Here is a 24,710-nt window from a genome sequence, read left to right as displayed (position 1 = left end):
TTGTGTCTTCTTTAAAGCAGTATTTGATGAGAGCTATTCAATGAATCACATTTCTGAATTAGTACAGAATATATGATTTGTCATAGATCTAAAAATAGTGGCAGTGATGTGTTACCAGAATGACTTCAAGGAGGAAATGATTGATTGTAATTAGAAAACAAACCACATACCAAGCACTCAATCATCACAAATCTTATAGAAAAGGAAACCTCTATTAGGACATAATTATACATAGCACTCACACACCTGTTATTCCATTTATAGAATCCTTTGTCTTCTGAAGAATGACTGGAGTGATACAGAAGAAGAATACAATGTTCAAACAAGAAACAATGGGAAATGGTCTGACTTCTCATTAAATACGTCATCAGTCTCCTGTTACAGCAGTTCTGTCTTCATTCAACTGCGTGAAAACTCTCTCATGTGCTATTTCATATGCTTACAAACCCTGCGCCTTATTGGTTTGTATCTTCAGTGCCATACTTAGACTCCTAGGACTAAGGTGCTTACCAAATGTCCCTTGAAGGCTGAATAAATGTATAAATGTTGAAAAGAGTCAACCAAAATGTGTATGAATAGTTAATGAGAGAATTAACACGACAAAAAAGAAGGAGCAGGAGATTAAAAAAATAAAATAAATCCTACCTACATTAGAATCTCATGTATATCTATCATTATCTGAAGTTGGAGAATCTCCAAAGTTCTCAAATAAATTGTTTTTTTCTGGTGAATTCTAAATGGAAAATGCAATTAGTAATTAGATTTTCAATAGTATATTATTCTCTCTTCATCATCTTTTTTAAAATACATAATTTTAGCTTTTGTTTTAGATTCAGAGATATACATTCAGGTTTGTTACATGGGTATGTTGGTGATGCTGAGGTTTGGGGGACAAATTATCCCATCGCCCAGATAGTGAGCACAGTATCTAATAGACAGTTTTTCTACCCCTGCTGCCCTCCCTTCCTCCTACCTCTGGTAGTCCCCGGTGTCTGTTGTTCCCAAGTTTATGTCCATGTTTACCCAGTGTTTAGCTCTCATTTATAAGTGAGAATACATGGTATTTGGTTTCCTGCTCCTGTGTTAATTCACTTAGGATAATGGCCTCCAGTTGCTGCAAAGGACATAATTTCATTTCAAATGACTGTCTTATTATTTCATGGTGTACATGTACCACATGTTTAAAAACTAATCCAGAGTGAATAGACACACAAAGGTTGATTCTATGTCTTTGCTAGTGTGAATAGTACTGCAATGAACATACAAGTGCATGTGTCTTTTTGGTAGAATGATTTATTTTCCTTCAGATATATATACCCATTAATGGAACTGATGGGTTGAATGGTAGTTTTGTTTTAAGCTCTTTGAGAAATCTCCAAACTGCCTTCCATAGTGGCTGAACTAATTTACATTCTCACCAACAATGTATAAGCATTCTCTTTTCTCTGCAGCTTTGCCAGCATCTGTTTTTTTTTTACTTTTTAATAATAATAATAATGGTCATTCTGACTGACGTGAGATGGTATTTCATTGTGGTTTTAATTTGTATTTCTCTGATGATTGGTGATGTTTAGCATCTTTTCATTTGTTTGTTGGCTGTGTGTATGTCTTTTTTTGAGAAATATCTGCTCATGTCCTTTGCCCGTTTTTGAATAGAGTTGTTTGTTTTTTGCTTATTGATTTGCTTAAGTTCCTTATAGATTCTGGATATTAGACCTTTGACAAATGCATAGTTTACAAATATTTTCTCCCATTCTGTAGGTTGCCTGTTTATTCTGTTGATAGTTTCTTTTATGGTGCAGAAGCTCTTTAGTTTACTTAGGTCCCACTTGTCAAGTTTTGTTTTTGTTGCAGTTGCTTTTGAGGACTTGGCCATAAATTCTTTCCCAAGGCTCATGTCCAGAATGGTGTTTACTAGGTTTTCTTCTAGAGTTCTTATAGTTTGAGGTCTTATATGTACACGCTTAATCCATTTGGAGTCAATTTGTGAATTGGTGAAAGGTAGGGATCCAGTTTATTTCTTCTGCATATGGCTAGCTAGCTATCACATCACCATTTATTGAATAGGAAGTCCTGTCCACATTGCTTATTTTTGTTAACTTTGTCAAAGGTCAGATGGCTTTAGGCATGTGGCTTTATTTCTGGGCTCTCTATTCTGTTGCATTGGTCTATGTGTCTTTTCTTATGTACACAGTACTATGCGTTTTTTTTGTTATAGTAGCCTTATAGTATAGTTTGGAGTTGGGTTATGTGATGCCCCCAGCTTTGTTCTTTTTGCTTAGGATTACTTTTGTTATTCAGGTTCTTTTTTGGCTTTGTATAAATTTTAGATTAGTTTTTTTTCTAATTCTGTGAAAAATGACATTGGTAGTTTGATAGGAATAGCATTGAATTTGTAAATTGATTTTGGCAGTATAACCATTTTAATGATATTGATTCTTCCAATTCATAAGCATAAAATATTTTTCCATTTTGTTGTCATCTATGATTTCTTTCAGCAATATTTTGTAATTCTCCTTATAGAGATCTTTCACCTCCTGGGTTAGATGTATAATGCAAAAAGCACATGATCATTTCAATAGATGCAGAAAAAGCTTTCAATAAAATCTAACAAACTAGGCATCAAAGGAAAATACCTCAAAATAATAAGAGCCATCTATGACAAACCTACAGCTAACATCATACTGAATTAGCAAATGCTAGAAACATTCCTCTGAAAAATGGGAACACAGCAAGGATGGCCACTCTCACCACTCCTATTCCACATAGGTACTGGAAGTTCTAGGCAGAGCAACTGGACAAGGGAAAGAAATAAAAGGCACCCAAATAAGAAAATAAGTTAAATTATGTTTCTTTGAGGATGATACTATTCTATACCTAGTAAACCCTAAAGACTGCAAAAAAAGTCTCCTTGAATTGATAACTTCAGTAAAGTTTCAGGATACAAAAGTCAATGTGCAAAAATCAGTAGCATATCTGTACACCAAAAACGTTCAAGCTGAGAACTAAATCAAGAATGTAATCCCATTGACAATAGCCACAAAAAACTTTGCATTTTCTTATAGACACAATTTATTAATTTCTCTCAAGAAAACAATCAACCAAGTATGCATTTTATACTTCCAGTTTTCTCAGCACTGTACTGATGTTGTAGAACACATAAGTAGAAATATAAAATAGTTTCTATTCTGAGATGCCTACGCTATTTGGAAAAGCAGAAGCAACACATGTTAAAGTAGAAAACCAGAGAAGGGAAAGAGTACATAACGGAGAAGGATGTGCCTTTAGCTGTCTAACCTTCTCTTATCAACAGCTTTTCTGGAAAGTCAGGTCTCTAGTAGCACTGGTCTTACTTTAGTTGTACAAATCATAAGGGCAATAGGATCATGAGACTGGAAATTATGTTGATTTTCCTTGCCACCCAGCTATCAAATTTAAACTGTCCAGTTAGGCCTCATTTTCTTCATCACTTTTTTTTTTTTTTTTTTTTTTTTAGATGGAGTCTTGCTCTGTCACCCAGGCTATAGTGCAATGGTGCGATCTTGGCTCACTGCAACCTCCACCTCCCGGGTTCAAGTGACTCTCCTGCCTCAGCCTCCTGAGTAGCTGAGGTTACAGGTGCCTGCCACTGTGCCCAGCTAATTTTTGTGTTTTTAGTAGAGACAGGGCTTCACCATCTTGGCCAGGCTGGTCTCAAACTCCTGACCTTGTGATCCACCCGCCTTGGCCTCCCAAAGTGCTGGGATTACAGGTGTGAGCCACCACACCCAGCCGTATTTATTTATTGTTTTTTTGAGACAGGGTCTGACTCTGTTGCTTAGGCTGGAGAGCAGTGAAACAATCACAGCTCACTGCAGCCTTAACCTCCCAGGCTTAGGTGATCCTCTTACCTCAGCCTCCTCGGTAGCTGGGACTACAGGTGCATGCCACCATGCCTGGTGAATTTTTTGCATTTTTTGTATAGACAGGTTTTTGCCATGTTGCCCAGCCTGGTCTCGAACTCCTGGGCTCAAGCAATCTGCCCACGTCAGCCTTCCAAAATGCTGAGATTACAGGCATGACCTACCACAACTGGCCCATTATAGTATTTTGTATAGATTTTTATTACAGGTTCAAACTAAGAGGCTGTCACAAAAGTAATAATTGAATTTATTACATTAAGAATATACACACATGCAAGGAAAGACTTGGGGCTCCATGTCTTTTTTACACCGATACAATTAGGGCCTTTGAGATAGATAACCTCTCAAGATGCAGTGTGAGAAGTGGATGCTTTATTTAATTTGTAAGTTACTTCTCATCTTACTGATGGAATTTCCTGAATCCCCTTCAGCTTGGATTCTTTATCTATCTTTTCTTTCTTTCTGTCTTTTTGTTTATATTAATTCATGGCAAACTTTTGCTTTCTAAATTTAGTTGTTCCAAATGTAGATCATTTTATCACTGATCAAATCATCTAATAATTTGCTTTCAAGTAACTTTTATATTTCACAATATGCATGTACGTATCATTTTCGTGAGGTTTTTATTCATCTCAGTAGTAGGAATACTAAACGTTAAATGAATAACAACTGAAACACTATGCCAAAAACATTTGAATTGACATCAATGGGCCACTGAATATTTCAACAAATGGCTAATGGTTCATAAAAAATAGACCCCCTCCTTTGGTTGCATAGTCTTGCTCATACAGCAAAGCTCCAACTATAAAATTGATGGTTTGAGCCCTAAAACTTCAGGTTCCTGTGACATGCAGCTTGAAGAGTCCTTGACAGCTTACAGAATGGCAATTTTTGAGAGATTGTCACATGATCAGAGTCAACATTCTATAACAGCTGCTAGATTCAGCTTCCTTTTTTTTTTAAAGAAAATGAACCAGCAAGTTTTATCTTCTGAATATTTTTCTGAAAATTATCTCTGTGTTAATCAGACACTCACTACCCACTCTTCCTCCTCTTACCTGCATCTCTATGTGTATGCTGTGGAAAGCCACAGAAAAGCATGTCAGCCTTTCTGTTGCTTGCAACCTTGCCATCTTAGCTAAGACCTAAATGGGCACGCAATCAGGGAACAATTAATGTAAAACGATGTGGCATTTATTGTGTATACACTTGGCATTCAGGAGGAAAATGATAACAATTGGTGATGTTAGCACAGGCTTTGTGACAATCCTGGCATCTAAACTGTATTTTGAAGGACCGGTAGATTTTAGCAGTCAGAAGAGAGGAGGATTGGCATTGTATGTGGTGAGATCAGCAGCAAAAGCCTGACTGGCAATGAGCAGAGGGCATGGGGAGCCAGGGTGAAGAACGCACTAACTGGAGGAGAGATTGTCTGTTGCGAGCTGTGGGAAATAATTTCAACTGGCCAGTTGTGTGCCATTATGGAGCCTTGGGATCCAGGCGGAGGAACTCAGGCTTGATGGGGCAGGCTAAAAAGGAGACACCAATGACTAAGTAAAGAGGCAACATAATGGAAGGCATATAAAATGGAGACCAGAGTGGCAGATGGAACAGTGGCTAGAAACCAAGTATGAAGCATTATTAGTAACCAAGGTACTGTGTGTCATAAATAACCAATACACCATGCTATGCACCGACTATGTCCTTTGATTTCACAATGATTTATTTATTATACCATCACCCTCATTATCTAAAACAGAACACTACAATTTCATATACCATCTGTGAGCCCCAAATGGTCATAATTAACAACCACAAATGTTCTAAAAAGGTGATGTACTAAAAATAGCTTATCATGCTTGTCAGCAGGCTGCTTCTGTGAGTACCATGACATTTGATGTACGAACGGCTACATTTTGCTATGTCTTTATGTAATTATATTTCTTACAGAGACTATAAGACTAGGAAAACATGCCTCTAATTAAACACCTTGATGGTTAATATTTTAACTTATAATCAGTTAGGGTCAAAAAAAAAAAAAAAGCAAGAGCATACTAAAAGTAAGTTTTCTTAAAATGAGTTCTGGCTAGTGTAGTATCTACAACATTAGGAAACATCCAAAATCCTTGTTGAATACAGGAAAATGTCAATTATTTGGATGTTTTTCTGGTGAATGTTAAAGGACATATAATTATTTTATCACCAAATATTGCCCTCCTTCTTGATTCCTTAAGGAGAGCCCCATTAAGAGGTCCTGCCCAGTGTGCTTTCACCATTCCAAGAGAAGCTGAGTGGTCTCAGAAAAATTAGGAGTTTAATTCTAACCATTGAAAATGACCGTCCTTATTATACATACCTACGGTTGTCCAAACGGTTACAGCTAACTAAGAAAGCAATGAGCCAAAAACTGCGCTGAATTTCATCAAATTGAAGGTGTCATTGATTGTAAGATGCATCATTATTTTATATACTACTCAGAAAGATAAAACACTGCAAGTTATACCGTGGCACAGTGCTTCCATCTAACTTAAAATTTTAAAAATTATTTTATACTGAAGGGTTCTTTTAGAGTTATTTAACATAGTTTAAAATATCACATGTCACCATTTCCTTTAAAAAGGAAAATATAATGAAATAGATGGGTTAAAGCATTCCTAAAACTCTTCCCATTTATGGTCTGACTCTTCTAAATCACTTTTTTGTTTGTTTGTTTGTTTGTTTTTGAGACGGAGTCTCGCTCTGTCTCCCAGGCTGGAGTGCAGTGGCGCGATCTCGGCTCACTGCAAGCTCCGCCTCCCGGGTTCACACCATTCTCCTGCCTCAGCCTCCTGAGTAGCTGGGACTACAGGCACCCGCCACCACGCCTGGCTAATTTTTTGTATTTTTAGTAGAGACGAGGTTTCACCATGTTAGTCAGGATGCTCTCGATCTCCTGGTCTCGTGATCTGCCCAGCTCGGCCTCCCAAAGTGCTGGGATTACAGGCGTGAGCCACCGCGCCCAGTCCTGTAAATCACATTTGACTCAGATGCATCAATACCTGCATTTTTCTTTGCATTATTATTCTCTATGCCATCAAGAGCCTTGTTGATGCAGCATTTCTTTAAGGAAAGCTCCACTGTATTCTCTAGGATTTTCTTCCAATCCACCAAGTTTGATATTGACACTTTATCATTTTGTTAAACAGGCAATAGGCAGGACTCATGCTTTTTCTTCAAATTGACATTAAATGATTTTAAATGAAAATGTTGCCAAGTTGCAGTTGTCCAATAAGGCCATGAGGGATAATAATTATCAGGGAGCTCATTCTTGGACTGTTTAGACACACATTGAAGTGCCAAGAACTAGCAGAATTGATGGGTAACTTAGTGCTTCTGCACCTCTCTTGGGGAATTTACTCAGCCCACCACCTGCTCTGCTGTTTTGCACCTTTTTTAATGGGAAGGGGGAATACACAGTAATACTTTTTGAGAAATACTTTATTCATAGATTTTTGTGGTTTAAAATTAAACATGAAGCCAACCTCTGGCCATTGGCAATTTTTTACAGTATCTAGTATCACAGATAAGCTACTTTTTGTAGCCCAAATGCATGACTTTGATTCCTGGATTTTATAACATTGATAGTTTAATTTCAGGGCATATCAAAGCATGCTAGGGATTCATTAGAGTTTTATATTTGACTAAATTCAATTTCATTTTTTTCTCAAATCACCTGCGTTGGAAGTTAAGTAGCTCCTGTTCCAAGTCAGATAGGAGTTTTTTTGACAAAATGCTGTTCAATGCCTTAATGATAGTCTTGCTTGATGCACCAGTCTGTCACATCAGTCTCTCATTGCTTTGAAAATTCCTTATCCATTCCAAAGGATGTTGCAATTTCTTCTGCTTTCATATGTATTGCTTAGGTGTGATTGCCAATTCTTTTCTATGTATCTCAGTAGCAAAATGTAACATAGATTCACCTATTTGTGAGTAACTTCTTTCCTTAATTCCTACAAAGTACATGGTGGTTGTTTTTGCAAGAAAATATAGAATTATAGTCATTCTTCCAATAATAAGTTTTTGATTTACTTAGATAAAATTTATATCCCACTGCCATTTTCATTCCTTTGTACACAGCAGCTTTTCATATAAATGCTGAATCATAGTGTGTAAACTTCCTGAAGACATTTTAAATGGTAATTCAAATAGATGCCTATGTATCAATGCACATCACTTACTTGAAATGATGACAACATGAACAGCCCTAACCAAATGTATATAGGCACAGCTATACCGTGGCTGGCCGTCAGCTATTATGACATAAGCCATGTAAGACTTGCATTGGAATGAGCAATCTCGTGGGGAAAAATAAAACTTGACCTGTATTCACAATAACCAGTTTGAGTGGGTCTGAGGATCAGGACTGGGGAATGAGAATGAAAGATGGGCAGTAGAAGTCAGGTTGCAGGAAGAGATGGTAACATCCCTGTACAAGAGCTCCTCCATAAGGTCTGGCAGGTATCACCAGACTCAGACTTAGCAATGAGGCATGTGGGTCAGTGCAGAGGACCCAGCAACCCTGCTGTGTGGGCCCCTCCACCTTGCCTAGGCCTCACATTGAGGAGAGAAGGGTTCTCCTCACTTTGCCTGAGCTGGTGTGGTAATGAAGATGGTGAAAGTTATGCTCACTGTGGGTAGATGCCTGCAAAGAAAGGGGTAGTTAGTGAGAACATCTTGACTCAGTATTCAATCTCTGGGCATTTGCAAAGGGAAAGCATAGAAATGCATTTCTTTTTAAATTTCTTTTCTCCTCCTCAATAGATTTTGCAATTGGATCCTGAATGTGGATGCTGCCCCTATAAGTAGAGGTGTTGTCTATGAGTGTATCCAGAAATGACAATAAAGTTTCAGACCCAACATATCTCTCCCATGGATGTGTTGTTGCTGATACTTGCAATTTTGCCATTACAGAGTCCTTCTTACTTTACTTTCTGAGATCTATTTTGTAATCAAATGATCCTGAGAGGGGTTAACACAACATATGTTAGCCACTGGAATTTGGTCGTTAACACCACAGTGAGAATTACTTTCACAGATGAGTTCCTTCTAGGATGGAGAAATGGACAGATATGAATGCATAGAATTGCTTAAGGCACAGGAGTGAAAGGACACTTGAATGACAGGGCTAATGAGAACTGAGATAAAACTTAGTTTGAAATTTTCTATAATAAAGAGACCCCAAAAGGCAGTGGCTCAAGGATTAGAAAGGGTTTTTTGTTTTGTTTTTTTCCTCCACATAAGAGTCCACAGTGAATGTCCGTGTTTACAGATGTTTGGTCATAAGAAGACTTATCACTCAGAAACGGGTTCCTTTCATCATGTAATTGCTTTCATCACCATATCTAATGACGTGTTCTTTGTAAAAACCCAGTCCAAGTCATAAGTACCAGACACCTAAAGCAGTGCTGTCCAATAGAACCTTCTGCAATGAGAGAAATGTTCTGCATCTGTCCTATCCAATAAGGTAGCCATTAACCACATGTAGCACTCGAAATATGGCTATTGTAACCGATACACTGACTTTCAAATTTTGTTTAACTCAAACTTAAATAATTACATGAGGCAAATGGTACCCTATAGGATAGCACAGATCTTGACAGTAGGCAAGTACAGTCATGTGCCACATAACAAGCTCTCAGTCAATGATGGACCATACCTATGAGAGTGATCCCAGAAGATTATGGTACCATATTTCTACTTTACTTTTTCTATGTTCAGACACACAAATAGTTACCATTGTGTAACAACTGGCTACAGTATTCAGTACACATGCTGTACAGGTTTGTAGCCTAGGAGCAATAGCCTATACCATAGAGTCTAGCTGCTTAGTAGGCTATACCACAAGGTTTGTTTGAGTACACTCTCTGATGTTTCCACAATGACAAAATTGCCTAATTATGCTTTTCTAAAAACATATCCTCATTGTTAAGTGATGCCTTACCATATTTTGAAATATCCAATACATTCTTGTTAACTATAGTCACGCTACTGTGCAATAGAACGCCAGAACTTATTCCTTCTATCTAACTTTAACTTTGTACCTGATGACCAGCCGCTCCCTCTCTCCCCTCCCCACTACTCTACCCAGCCTCTGGTAATCACCATTGTACTCTATACTGCTATTAGAATAACTTTTTAGATTACACACATGAGGGAGAGAATACAGCATTTGTCCTTCTGTGCTTGGCTTCTTTCACTTAACATGATGTCCTCTAGGTTCATCCATGTTAACCTAAAAGCTCAGAAGAGTGGAATTTGCACATGTGTCCATTGCATTCCCAGCGTGTCTCATGGAGCCTGGACCCTGAAAGAGAATCAGTTTACCATTTCATCTTGTTGTTACAGATGCACTTAGATGTGGTAACAAGGCCTTGGATTTGGTGAGGGGCAAAAATTTTAGTAGAATGGACTAGATAGAACTTTCACTTCCAGCAGCTGAGTCCAGTGTAAAAGAGGGATAGCTATATCTACGATTTTTTTCTTCTGATTTCCATTCTTTGTCCTTTGCAGACTCTATAAAAATAATCCCTAAAGTAAACCTAATAAAATATTACTTTCCTCATACCATTCTTAATGCCATGGCAAATAGAGGAAGTGCCTTGTGTTTTAATCTGTTGGAGTCACTTGTGTTTTGTTCTACAATAATTCATAAATAGAAGGAAATATTTTAAGCTGTGTTTTTATTTTCAGAAAACCTACACAATCTCTTAAAGAAGTAGAGTTAATTAGTACTAGTTTGCCAGGACTGTAGTGAGATATAGATTGGTTGACAAAATTAACTTCCTAGGACAAATGTGGCTTATCACATGAAAGAACACACACAGTTTTCTACCATAAACAATTTAAAGTAGTTTCCTATGTAAAACATTCTTAGTGTCAAAGTTACAAATCACTAGTTCTTGGAGCTATTAAAATAAACCCTTCTCTATTATAGGAAAACATTTTCCCCTTGTCAGCAAGCAGGCTTATATGGTCAACTTTATGATAACAAGTTAAAGGATAAGTATAAACATGTTTTAAATTCTAGGGTAACAAGTATGTAACATTTCACTACACTTTTCCTTATCTGCCTAGTAAGATGTAATAGCTAGCTGAATGACCATCCACCTTCTCAGAGAACTTATTTGAACCATATTCCATTGCTTCAACGGTTCACTAAATCTGTAACTTTTCTACCTTCACTTATGCTTTTTAGATCGGGGTGATGTAACACACAAAAATAACTAGCAAAGGGCACGAACGAAATAGGAGGCAAAGCACTCTCAGCAAATGCAAACAAAATAAAAGCCAGAATGACAATACAAATGTGTAAAAAGTAGAGTTCAAATCTCAGAAAATTAAATGGGACATAGAGGATTATAATATGATTAAAGGTACAATCTGCAAAGAAGAAATTATCATCATTTTAAACTTTTATGTAACAATATAATGGAAAAACATAAAATCTCCTAGAAGCACAAGAACTTGATAAAATAATCAGAGTATATAAAAATATATTTCAAAGTTAGAAGACAAAATATATAAGGATATAGATTATTATAAATTTTCATTTTTAATTTCAAATAAAAATGTAATGTATGCTTATTGTACAATAACTTCAAACAACATGGAAGTATAAAGTTAGAAAAGAGAACATCTCCATTACACTTCCCAATTCTACACCCTGCCCAGGGATGACTTATATTTCTATGTATCCTTCCAGGTCTTTCCTTACTGCAGTCATAGATCTTGTTAATTTATAAAAATAAATTTCCTTGGTCCATGGTAGGGACTTACTGTAATTTGTTTAGCTATTTTCCTACTGATAGATTTTAAGATGCTTCCAAAAGTTTATTGTAAACAATTCTTCAATGAACATCTTTATACAAATGTATTTGTACATATGTGGGATGTTTGTATGATAAAGACAAAAAGAAGTGGAATTTTTGGGTCAATAATGTGACATGGGACAAAATCAAACTTGATAAGTTGTTGCCATGAATTGTGAGCAATAAACCTATGTTGTAAGGCTCTGAGATTTTGGGTGTTATTTTTACCCTAGCACAACAGGTCATTGAGGTACAATGACCTTTTCTGTTGTTGTTGTTGAGATGGAGTCTCACTCTGTCGCCCAGGCTGTAGTGCAGTGGCGCGATCTCGGCTCACTGCAAGCTCCGCCTCCCGGGTTCACGCCATTCCCCTGCCTCAGCCTCTGAGTAGCTGGGACTACAGGCGCCTGCCACCACGCCCGGCTAATTTTTTTTTTTTTTGTATTTTTAGTAGAGACGGGTTTCACCGTGTTAGCCAGGATGGTCTCCATCTCCTGACCTCGTGATCCGCCCGCCTCGGCCTCCCAAACTGCTGGGATTACAGGCGTAAGCCACCGTGCCCGGCCACAACGACCTTTTTATATTTCTCTAGGAATCAATAGCGACCCCTCTAATGTTTCACTAGGTAGTTTGCTGAAGCCTCCTGCTTGTCACCTTTTATAAAATTAGCTGTTGTGGTTAAGAAAAGTCAAATCCATTTAAAAGTGTTATTGAACGGATTTATAGTGTTTCATCTTGTATTTTTCTCAATGAATTAGTATTAAGATATCATTCCTGCATCATGAAAGTGAAGTGAAATTTACTAAATGTTTTTTGCCATCTATCAAGATGATGTATGGGTTTTTCTCTTTTAATCTGTTCCTCTAGATTTCCCTAATATTAAAACATCCTGGAATCGGCCCTACTTAGTCATGATGTGTTATTATTTAACAGAAGGCTAGAGTTAATTTATTAATGCATAAAGTCCCATATATTTGCACTAGCTTCATAAGTCATATTTGTCTATGATTCTTTTTTCTGTTTCTGTCCAATTTGGATATCTAGGTCATGCTAGTCTTGCAAAATTATTTGGAAAACTGTATTTTTCTATTCTCTGAAACAGCTTAAATATGACAGGAATTATGTATTTCTTGGAAGGAGAGCCCCTTTGTAACGTAGCTACTTAAAATTTTCAGTATTGTCTATGTTGTCTACGTTTAAGGGTTATTCAGTATTTCTATTTCTTTTAAAACTAATTTTGATAATTTGTATTTCCTGGAAGAGGCTGTAAATTGTACCGTAAGTACCACCTTGACCTAGAAGTTTTAATGTGTAACTTTCTTGTTCATTTCTAAAACATATGAAATGTATTTCCTTGTCTCTTTAACCCAAGTATTACTTAGCAGGGCATTTTTAACTTTCTGTAGTGCGGCTGGGATGCTCCACCTCTCCATAAACCCTGTCTCCCTCATCCTTTTGTTCAAAGCTCTGTGGTCAGAGAATGGAGTTCCCAGTATTAGACCTCTTAACAATTGTTATTTAGCCGGAGTCCTAGGCCCACAGGCTGAGAACTGCCGTTCTGACTTCCAGTCCTCTACTGAGGCTGGTTACCTGCCCTTGATGCATAATGGGTCATTCTTTCTGCTTGGGATGCTCTTCTTACTGTCATCTGCTTTTCCATGTCCTAGGATCCTTTCCCACCCATGCCGACTCCTCCTGGAGCTCTTCCCTGGTCATTTTTGTTAACAAAGATCTCCCCAGTTCCTAACAAGGATGGCCACGTGATCACAGTCAGCAAATCATATCACGCTTATGTCATTAGCTCCTGAATGATTTTATGGCCCCATATCTTGTAGATTACAAGAACTCAACAAGTAGTAGCTACAATTATTCTTAGATTTAAAAAATTAAAATGTCGTATAATTTGAAACGACAGGTAAAAGTTTCTTGTCCACCGTCAGGATCACCTCTTCTTAACTTCTTGATTTCTATCAGTATTATGATTAGGTTAGTGTTATGTAAAGGTTTATAAAGCTTACTTTCGGTTTTGTAATTATAATTAAGTCCTTCATGCTTTGTCTTTAATTTGCTTCTAAATCAGCGGTCAGGCCGGATGCGGTGGCTCACGCTTGTAATCCCAGCACTTTAGGGGGCCTAGGTGGGCGGATCACTTGAGGTCAGGAGTTCAAGAGCAACCCGGCCAACGTGGTGAAACCCTGTCTCTACAAAAATTAGCTGGGCGTGGTGGCGGGTGCCTGTAATCCCAGTTACTCGGGAGGTGGAGGCAGGAGAGCAGGAGAATTGCTTGAACCTGGGAGGTGGAGGCAGGAGAGCAGGAGAATTGCTTGAACCTGGGAGGTGGAGGTTGCAGTGAGCCGAGATCACGCCACTGCACTCCAGCCCTGGGTGACAGAGTGAGACTCCATCTCCATAAATAAATAAATAAAATAAAATAAAAAATAAAATAAAATAAAATAAATCAGGGGTCAGCAAATTATAGCCCATAGGATAAAACTGGCCTCCTGCCTGTTCTTGTACAGCCTGTGAGCTATGAGTGGTTTTTACATTTTTAGATAATATAAAAAGTAAAAATAAGATGACTATTTCACACGTGAAAAGTATATGAAAATCCAATTTCAGTGTCTGTAAATAAAGTTTTATTGAAACACAGCCATTCATTCATTTATGTAATGTCTATGGCTGCTTTGGTGCTGCAATGGCAGAACTGAGTAATTGCAGCAGAGAGGTATGGCCTCCTAGACCTATGATATTTGCTCTCTGGCCCTTTACAGAACACATTTGCCAACCCCTGTTCCAAGCACCCAAAACCAATAAACACCATTCACAATATTAGCATCTCTCATCCACACTACTCAGGTAGCCTCCTCACTGGTCTCCGTGCTTCCAATCTTGCTTTCTTCCTCTCCATTCTGCACACAGCAACCAGGATGATCTTGCTACAACATCCCTGAATCCTGCATGTCGTTTCACGTGGGGTGAGCACCCAATGCTGAGAATTTTTGGTGGTGAGTAGCCCCACATTCTAAAGAGAGATGCTAGACCAGTTTTGCAGTTTTGCCCCCCTCCGCCGCCCATAGACCTAAGCAGGAGGCCCCAGCCTTGACCTTGCACTCCTGGCCAGTGTTCTGACCTGCCCCATCCCAGGGGACAAGGTGTCTGCAAGGCCTTGGAGACATATTTTTTTCCTGGAAATTGTATTTGTCATTCTTCTTTCTTCATGACACAAAGGTGGTCCAACTTACCGCATTGTTTGTTGAAATAAAAATACTTTGCTTTGAAGATGATTTTCTTAGCAGCATCCAATTGAGGGCAAGAAAATCCTGGGCCACCTCCATTTTTTTTTGAAGGCCCTGATATTTTTTTAAAAATGTGGCAGAAACATGACATTATGTATCTGTCAAAACCCATAGAACTGTATGACACAAACAGTGAACCCTAATGTAGACTATAGACTTTAGTAACAATAGTGTATAAATATTGCTTCACCAATTATAGCAAGCGTACCACAATAAGCAAGGTGTGAATAATAGGGGAAACTGGGTAAGTGTGAGTGTGGGAAGGGGTATATTGGAACTCTGTGCTTTCTGCTCAATTTTTCTGTTAACCTAAAATTGCCCTAACCATTAAAGTCTATTATAAAAAAGGAAGAAATACCAGAACTGGGTTACTTACATAATATTTTCCCTACTAGCATTACAATTTTATTGGAATGGCACTATACCCAGTTAAAAAACTACATTTCCTAGCTCCCATTGCAAAAGGGATTGACTTGAGGTAAAGACCTGCTCGGTGAGACTTAAGTGAATGTCATCTGGAGGTAACTGAGGGAGAGCTCTTTAATGGGAGGTCAAACCCAACCAGCATTTGTCCTTTGGCCCTTCTCTCTTCTCCCTTCTTGCCTGTAATGTTGCAAAGACGCTACAGCATGACCATGAGGGAGGGCCAGATATTCCCAAGAGTTTTCAGCTGAGATTTCCTTGTGCTGTTATGCTGGCCAAACTTAAGAATGACCAACCTTAGGATTGTTTTATTTTATTAAAAAAAAAGAGAAACCCTTATGTTATTTAAGCCACCACTGTTACTTGGGGTTTCTATGAAGGAAGCTCAAATGATTAAAAATCTCGAGTTCAACCACTTGGGTGGATCTCTGTGACCGTGGGCATAACCTGCTTTGAAGTTAAATGTGAAGTCCTTTGTGAAAGAGATCCCAAAGCTGCCCTTTCCCCCGCCCCATTCCATAAGTGGCCTCCCCTCACTGAGCCTTCCAACATGCATGATGCACTATGACAGTGGATTCCTAGATGTGTTGCATGGCTGGCATCCCAAGATTTAGAATGCTCTTTGTTGGACTCTTTGGTTAGTTGCATTACATTATGAAACTAATATCTTTCTTGAGCTTTTATTTTTTTTGATGGAACACATCAATTTTTGGGGGGTCATATATTAGGTAAACTTTTTTATTGCATGTATAAAAAATTTTTATTTAGGCCGGGTGCAGTGGCTCACGCCTGTAATCCCAGCACTTTGGGAGGCTGAGACGGGTGGATCACAAGGTCAGGAGTTCGAGACCAGCCTGGCCAATATGGTGAAACCCTATGTCTACTAAAAATACAAAAAAATTACCCTGGCATGGTGGCGCATGCCTGTAATCCCAGCTACTTGAGAGGCTGAGTGACGAGAATTGCTTGAACCTGGGAGGCAGAGGTTGCAGTGAACTGAGATCTCGCCACTGCACTCCAGACTGGGCAACAGTGAGACTCCATCTCAAAAAAAAAAAAACAAATTATTTTATCTTCTCCTTTGAGTGAAAAAGAATTCTAGTTTTATGTTTTTTAATCAAAATGTGGAAGATATTGTTTCTTTACCTTTTGAGTAATAAGGTTTACTGGCACCGCTGGTACTATAATCCAGTGTTTTTGATGAGAAGTATGATGCCAATTTGCTTATTATTCCTTTGAAGAAATTTGTTTTTTCATCTCTGTGGAAGTTTTTAAGTTCTTGTTTTATGCTTGTTATTCTGAAGTTTCATGAGGGTAAGTCTAGATATTTATTTTCTTTTTTCATTAGTCTTGCCCACACAGTCCGTCTGAAGATGCCTGGGTTTGTTGCCAGCTGTAAACCTAGTTTTTCCCTGTTGGCCTCAGTACTAGCCAGTACTTTAAGTTTGAGAAAAAGGTATTACAGCATACATTGCCAAAGGGAGAAGTTGCCAGAAATTTGCATTTACTTGTTCAACAGAGAGTTTTTAGATGATGTAAATGAGAGATTTCAGTAGGAAAGCAGCGAAGTTTTTTAGAGTTTGGCACCCTCAAGATTTAGAGAATAAGTGTTTGCATGAGAGTCGTGAAAACTGTGTTCTAGGCCTGTCCCTACTTAATAAAGTTTAGAATGGATTTCACTTTACTACAAAATGGAGATGTGGAACTTGATGAGCTTGTTGGTCCCTGCCAGGGATTTAAGATTCTATTCAGTGGTCCTCAAGGTGGGGTTGGGGTACTAGCATCTCCATTAGGGACAGTTTGGAAATGTGGGAGTTATTTTGGATTGTCATAATGACCGGTGGCCACTTCTGGCATTAGTGTAGGAATGACAAACATCTTGCAGTAAATGGGAAAGTTTCGCAAGAAAAAAAATAACTGTTCACATGAAAATAATGCAAGACGCAGAAGCAGCCGGCCACCAGGTAATTTCTTCTGCTTAATGGAATCTCTTGTATTAGCCCTTCATGTGGGAATACCCCCAGCTGGCTGACAGAGAGGTCTAAATTTGGCTGCAGATAAACTCCACTGCTTCTTTGCCTCAGACAGCTAAAATTGAGCCTCTCCATCTTCCTGAGTCGCAAAGTCAGCCTTCTTTTCTTTCCCTAACAATCAATAACCATGCCACTAAACAAGTTTGCATGTTTCTGTGTCATTGGATACATTCATTCTGTTCTAGCACTTTCTTCAAAAAGACTCTGGAGAACAGACGTCATTCCCTGTGAGTGAAGTGGAGAGGGTGCATGTTAAAGAGGTGTGCTCTTAATACCTGGAGCCCAGGGAATATTGACAACGGTTTAGATTCAGGAAGCCTCTAAGCAGGACAAGGTCATTGGCATAATGATTTTACATTTGCTCAGTTTACCTGAGGGGAAAGAACTTCAGATTGGGAAAGGCAAAGAGCAGAAGATTAAGGGCTACTAATTGGGGTTCAGCTTTGCTGCACTTTCATTAGCTTTGTAACTTCTATTGACTTACTTAATTTGAAGATTCACCATTTCATAGTAAAATATGTGTTTTGTATGTTGAAGCCTGCTACTGGCTTGGTTCAAATGCTCCTTAGAGACACATTTTAATGGAATCAGGCCATTTCAAGGGAAATCTAATTATTCAGGAATAAACTTACACAAGTCTCTGTATAGCACAACCTGAGATTCCAAGGAGAATGGGAGGCAGCGACCCATGGTCGGGCCCCTTTGTTCCTGTGCTCATAGCCCACCTCCAGCTGCCCTGGTTTTCTGTTTGCTTCTAGGAATCTAGGCCTTATCTACCTCTATAGTTATTTCCTCTAAGTCTTTTCCCCTCTACCTCCTTTTAGTTTAGTTACACCAAACTGCTATTTTTCCAAGTGATTTCCATCTCTCAAAAGTTTGATTGATTCTGTTTTTATATCTAAACTGTTCTCTCTTCATTGCCACTCTGCTTAGCCAACTCCCACTGATTCTTCAAAACTCAACTTAGGAATCATCTTCCTAGGAAAACTTCCTTTCTGTTTCTAAACCTGACTCCATTATAATCCTTCTCCAGGTGTTGTCTCAGAGAATTACCCTGGGAAGACTTGCTAAAAGTGCAGATTGCTGGCACCTAACCAAGATCTATTGAATCTGGGATGGGTCCCAGGAATCCACAGTTTTCACAGTGTGTGTGTGTTTGTCTGTCTTTTGTATTAGATGATCAACAACAGTTTGAGGGCAGTATTGACAGTTGTATTTCTAGAAACAAACAGGGCCTGACAATATAGTAGCTATTCTATACAACTTTTGTTGTTGTTGAAGTAATGGTCAAGTTACTCTGAAAGCACAATCTAAGACCTGGAATTGAGTCCCGGCTTTACCACTTGGTAGGTGTGTACTTTGGATAAATTATCAAAACTTTCTGACTCTCAATCTCTTAATCAATGAAGTAGAATAATTCCTACTTGCAAGTGCTTTGAAATGAAAATGAGACATGTATCATTATTATTAGCCCTGTCAAAAGCCAAAATCACAACAAATTTAGTTTAAAGATCTTAATTAGCTTTTAGTTGTGATTCTAGAATTGGGCAACACCTCAGCATATAAAATAGAATAAATGGTCTGATAAACTGAGCAGAGGAGGTTGGGTTTTAGACAGAGAGAGGCCGAGGAAAGCAGCAACAGAGAAAAAGCGTATTAGTCATTTCAAAGTTACTTTCCTTGTAAAGGTTAAAGCGGAGGAGACTTTCTTATCATGTTCAAGCTAACCTGGCCTGTTTGGAGATTTGGCTATTATCTCTCTCTCTCCTGATTTCTCAGAAGGAATACAACTTAGTTTCAGCTTGTTGGTGTGGAACTTCAGCATGAATCACTCCATTTTGATTTAGTCTCTTGGGCCTGGTGCAGGAGCTCCGCCCGCATCAGTGGACTCCTATAAATTTTATTTAACAGCCCAATAGATTTTAAGATAGAGATCTTTAAATCTCCAACACTAAGAGATATAGGAGAGGAAAAATTGTTCATTCTATCCTTCTAGGTTCTTTGACTGGTCTATGAATTAAATTGACATAAGACAGATTAACAGGAGAAAAACCATTTTAATTATATACATACACATGGGAGTCCCACAAAAATATGAGACTCAAAGAAGTGGAGTGAGGGTTTGGTGTTTCTGTGTGGTGGTGGAGGTAAGAAGTGGAGTAAGGGTGGGGTGTTTCTGTGTGGTGGTGGAGGTAAATTATGGGAAAGTAAGGGGTAGGGGAAATGCATAGTGAAGGAAGCTTGTCTTGTTATGTAGTTAAGTCTCTCAGGTGGCAAATTTTCTCAGAGTAGCTCTCTTCCTGGTACAGATAACTAGTTACTAATGTAAGTTTTCCTTATAAATGTAAATTTCCTATATGAAAGGGGAAATTTATATCTTATTTTAGGCAGTTGATGGGGAGGTAAATAACTTTTCTTGTGGTGGCTTGTTCTTCATTTCTTTTAGCTCAAAATAATCAATATGCCACATTTTGGGGTGACAGGTTCTGAATGCCTTCAGAGGCTAGGAGGGAAACTCCTAGGATTGAAGGATTTTTATGGGTTGACTTTTAAAACACTGCGTGGTTTGAAATTTGAGCACATTAAAGCCAGAACTAGAATAGCCAGCTTTTCTAATTATCCCAGTTCTTTTGCACTGATCTTCTGGGCTGTTGTTTTTCTGGGTATTTTCTGGTTCAACATTTCATAGTCTTCTCAGGCAGATAAATAATGGCAAACAGGTGGAACAAGAGACTTATGTCTATACCAATTGAGCTGTTTGCCTGCAGGAACTGTTTTCTTTTATTTGAAACAAGCATCTGTCTATCCAATCAACATCTGTGTGAAACACTATTTGTAATAATAATAATATCATTTTTTTAAGCACAGACTGTGTGCCAGCCATGATGCAAAGAACTTTATGTGCCCTCTCTCCATTCTCATAGCCAGGATTTAAACCTAGACTGTCTTACTCCAGAGCTGTCTGTGTTAAATATCACATTACTCTATGCCCACTGATTTCACAATCCTTAAATCACATGCCTCCAGAGATATTGCAGGAAGAAAAACAACAATGAATGAAAAGCAAAATCATTCTTCTTTAATTTAAAAACATCCCCCTTGATGCTATTTTTCAAGAGATTAACAAAGTCAGTTGCTTGTTCAGTATGCGCTTCTGATCTTCATTTTCATCGCACGATTTTCTTCTGATATTACCCGCCCTTGGTTCCTGCAATGGATTGAAAAAGGGGATTTTTCATAAAGGACTTGCACTGTATAGAAGAGACATAAACGTTTTGGAATTCATAGCTGATCTTAAAGTTAATAAGACAGGACAATAGTAGCCTACAGGAAGCCCCGAGGTGGTCCAGTCTTAGTATGGGTCAGATAGAGCCGGGTTGGGATGATTTCCAACCAAAGGTACAGCTATTTTGAAAGTGGAAACAGGCTTATATTTATTTTGGCTTTAAGAATGTTTTTGACTTTATTTAGTCACTACCTTAGAGAATGGTAGAGATAATTATTATACTGGCATTTCGATGTTCGATTTAAAGCATTGTAATGCTGTGCTGTATTGGTATAAGCACTACTAAATGGGATGGCTTTGAAATCTCGTGCCAGTTCCAATATGCTCATGAAACTCAGTTATTTTCCTTCTGTTATAGTTGAAAATAGTTCCCTACAGTTTCACCAGAAGTGGTCTGTTTATTCTTGGTCAGATTAACCCTTCACAGTCCAATTGATTTTTTGAAGATTGTCCTATAAATGCCTGGCTGTTTGCCGAGTAGAAAAGGTTGCAAATTTTGGGGGATTTCTGAGATGTTTAGAGCTAATCAACATCTTTGTTTTATGATTTCTGCGATATGAAAGCTGGCTGTAAAATGTGAAGTGTTACATGGATAGTGTTGCCTTTCCCTATGAGATTATTTGACACTTTTATCAGTCATGACCGAATAGGAGGGGTGAGGTTATCTAACAAATCTTTAGTACAGATTGAGGCCATAAATTAAAACACCATAGTGAGAAGCTTCCATACTGGTTTAAACAAATAATTAAATGATTGTAGGCTTCAGAGTAAACAACTCCACAAGTCAACATGCAGGCTGAAACACACACACACACACACACACACACACACACACACACACACACACAAATACATTAAATTCTAAAGCTTCCTTTACTATTTGTTTTTAGAAACCAGCAGGTTTTCCACTAAAATTGTTTTTTTATGAGTTTGAAGCTGTGAAGGATATATAACTTATTTGTAATCATTATTTTCAAGTGAATGATAAAGCATGAATAAAAATATTAGACACTAGTACATACTGAAGAGAAAAAACCCATTATCAATTAGTATGTATTGAATATCAGTAAATACTGAGCCCGGTAACTAAATAGGGTATCAATCATTTATCATCACATCTCAAGGCAAGTTACATTGAGGAAAAACTTGTAGATTGGAGGGAAAGTGCCTAAGCCCTGAAATTTCCATATAAGAATTAGTCACTGTTGAAAGAGTCACTGTATAAAACCATGATAAAATTTTGTTTTCTTCTTTAGTGTTACTTTCATAGTGGAAAACATGCCTTTAAAACGTATTTGATATTTATGATGGTACAATCACTACTGTAGGATGATCTATTAGTGTTGATAGCAACAGGAGGCAGGAAAATGCCTCGGCATATAGGGGTGGGTCCCTGGTGAAACCCCACCTCCAAGCCAAAGACAGTTTAAAGCCTGAAAGCCAAGCTGCAAGTTAAACCCTCCCACCGGATTGAGAACTTGTCTTCCTGTTTGGCAAGCTTTCCTCTGATTGGGCCCTACCCTTCACCTATTTTACATATACCTACCCTTTCTTAATTGGTTTTCTACACTGTCGTGCCCACCTTTGAGTGGTGTCTTTGCTTTAACCTTTTTTACATGCTCACAAACCAATCAGCATGCACTCCCCATTCTGAGTCCATAACAGGCCCCAGACCCAACCACTTGGGGGAACTTTCCTGCCTTTGCGTAGGGGGACCAACCATGCATCCCTTCTCCGCTGAAAGCCGTTTTCATTGCTCAATAAAACTCTTCTTCGCCCTCCTTACCACTTCAATGCCCAGCGTATCCTTATTCTTCTTGGGTGCAGTACCAGAGCTCGGGAACCACCGAATGCAGGTACAAGCTATAACATAGGTGAGCTGGGGCATGCCAGCGTGGCCGAGCGAGGCCCGGGTGGAGTGTCACTGGCCGGGGGTCCCCGGCTTGCAAAATGACCAAGAAGAAAAATCCTGCATCAGTGTTAGTGATAGTGAACTTAGTGAGATTTTAGAGTTTATCTAATTCTTACGTAGAAAATAGTCCAGTAACATAGGCTATAAGTATTCTTCCTGATTTTTATTGTAGGTTTGTTAGCATGTAACCAAATACTTTTCTAGAATAAGTAAGACTATGGTCTTCATCATGATAAGAACAAGTCTGACATCAGAATGCATTCTGACGTGGGAAGGTTGAAAGGCTCTTCCATCAAACTGGAGTGCTGGGAATAGAGTGGAGGGCTCTTCAGCAGGGCGGATACTCACGTGGATAATGCCAAACAGATCTTCGTGGTTTCAAAAAAAAAAAAAATCAGCTCCAGGTCACAAAATCAGAAATCATGTTACAACATGCATGGGGTGGTAGAAAAGGAAACAAAGAGATTTGCTAAAGCATTCATTTTGATGATTACACAATTTGCAGAGGTAAATTGGTTTTTTTCACAAATATGAGTATGTTAAACAAGGCAAGATAGTCTAAAAGGGCATTTTATATGATATTTCCACATCATACGTTCTTTTAAGTATTTTAGTGGGGAAAAACTTTTATATTTGAATAAACATCTGATTTGCTAAGGTTTTGCGGTACATTTATGTCATGTAATGAGTTTTGTTGTCAGGCAGCCTCGATAGCTCTTTTGATGTGTAACTTGTTTGAAACTATTAAAAGGGCTTTGCTGAAGGTTTAAAACGGTCTGAAATAGCCTCAGAGAATGTCAGGTATTGCTATTTTAATGAAGTGAAGTTTTGAGTTTGGGATTAAGTCTAGTGAAACCAAAATAATTTGGCACTTTGGGAAATGAAATCTGTGAACAGAATTGAGAGAAATTTACGATTCACTCTCTCTTTTGGCTTCCTATCCTTCACTCACTAGTGTGAACCCTTAGCTTAATTTGATAACATTTTTTTTTCTTAAAGTGTATGCTGTAAGAACGGTTTCCCTGTTTATCTATTTTATTTTATTTTATTTTGAAACACAGTTTCACCCTGTTGCCCAGGCTGGAGTGCAGTGGCATGATCTTGGCTCACTGCAACCTCCGCCTCCTGTGAGAATGAGGCATTCTCATGCCTCAGTCTCCCTGGCAGCTGGGATTACAGGCACGTGCCACCACACTCAGCTAAGTTTTGTATTATTGGGAGAGATGGGGTTTCACCATGTTGGCCAGGCTGCTCTTGAATTCCTGACCTCAAATGATCTGCCCGCCTCGGCCTCCCAAAGTGCTGGGATTACAGGCATGAGCCACCACGCCTGGCCGATTTCCTCTGTTTAAATCTGGTCTGTCTTTGCTTTCTCTGCCCCACCCAATGAGGCTATGAGTGCACTTTTAAGAGGCAAGTCAGGGAGTTTCCGTTTTTTTCTCCAACACACCTTCCCTGCTCTGGTCTTTATATTCTGGGGGCCACCGCAACATCTTAGGTATGCTTTTCACCTCTCTGTCCAAGCCTTGGTCTGATGCTTGGTGGAGACAATTTTTCAATGCTGATTTTGCTAGGAAGTTGTCTTTGGTTTCTTCCCATTCCTGTTTTAAGAACTCTCACCTACCTAACTCACCCTTGGGCTCAGGTCCCAGAATCCTAGCTGGCCAGGCTTTGGCAAGTGCAAAGTTTCTCTCTGCTTGTTACTAGGCGAGGGTTTCCAGGTAATCCCTGGTCTTGGGTGATCTGCAAAACCCCTGCTGGTACACTTTCTAGTTTCAGGGTTATGTGAAAAATTCTGTTCTATAAATCAAAAGATGGTTTTTGCCCCATTAATTTCTTCTTGGATTTATTAATTTTTTTCTTAGCAGGAGTTGTATGAATTACAGACAATCTGCTTGCTGTTAGACTGGGATTTTGCTGTGAAAGTTTGGAACATCACTACCTGCAAGGGTTACACTTAGTTAAGGTGTGTGAATATATTAAAGTTTTTTTTTAAATTTGTCTTATCGTG

At 38.6% G+C, this 24,710-nt stretch overlaps 1 long non-coding RNA gene across 1 annotated transcript; it reads right to left on the bottom strand.

Moving 5' to 3' along the window:
• Positions 1 to 20,558: 20,558 nt before the first annotated feature.
• Positions 20,559 to 22,919, bottom strand: LOC107987189 (uncharacterized). The gene is made up of 2 exons (XR_001749965.1): positions 22,574 to 22,919; positions 20,559 to 20,709 (listed from the first exon to the last, which is right to left on the bottom strand). It is a non-coding gene; the product is annotated as an uncharacterized LOC107987189 (long non-coding RNA).
• Positions 22,920 to 24,710: the final 1,791 nt, after the last annotated feature.

The sequence above is a fragment of the Homo sapiens genome, chromosome 13 (assembly GCF_000001405.40).
Source record: "Homo sapiens chromosome 13, GRCh38.p14 Primary Assembly".
In the NCBI taxonomy this organism is placed as follows: Eukaryota; Metazoa; Chordata; class Mammalia; order Primates; family Hominidae; genus Homo; species Homo sapiens.
The sequence above is the reverse complement of the archived record's forward strand: the minus strand, read 5'-3'. Positions and strand labels throughout refer to the sequence as shown.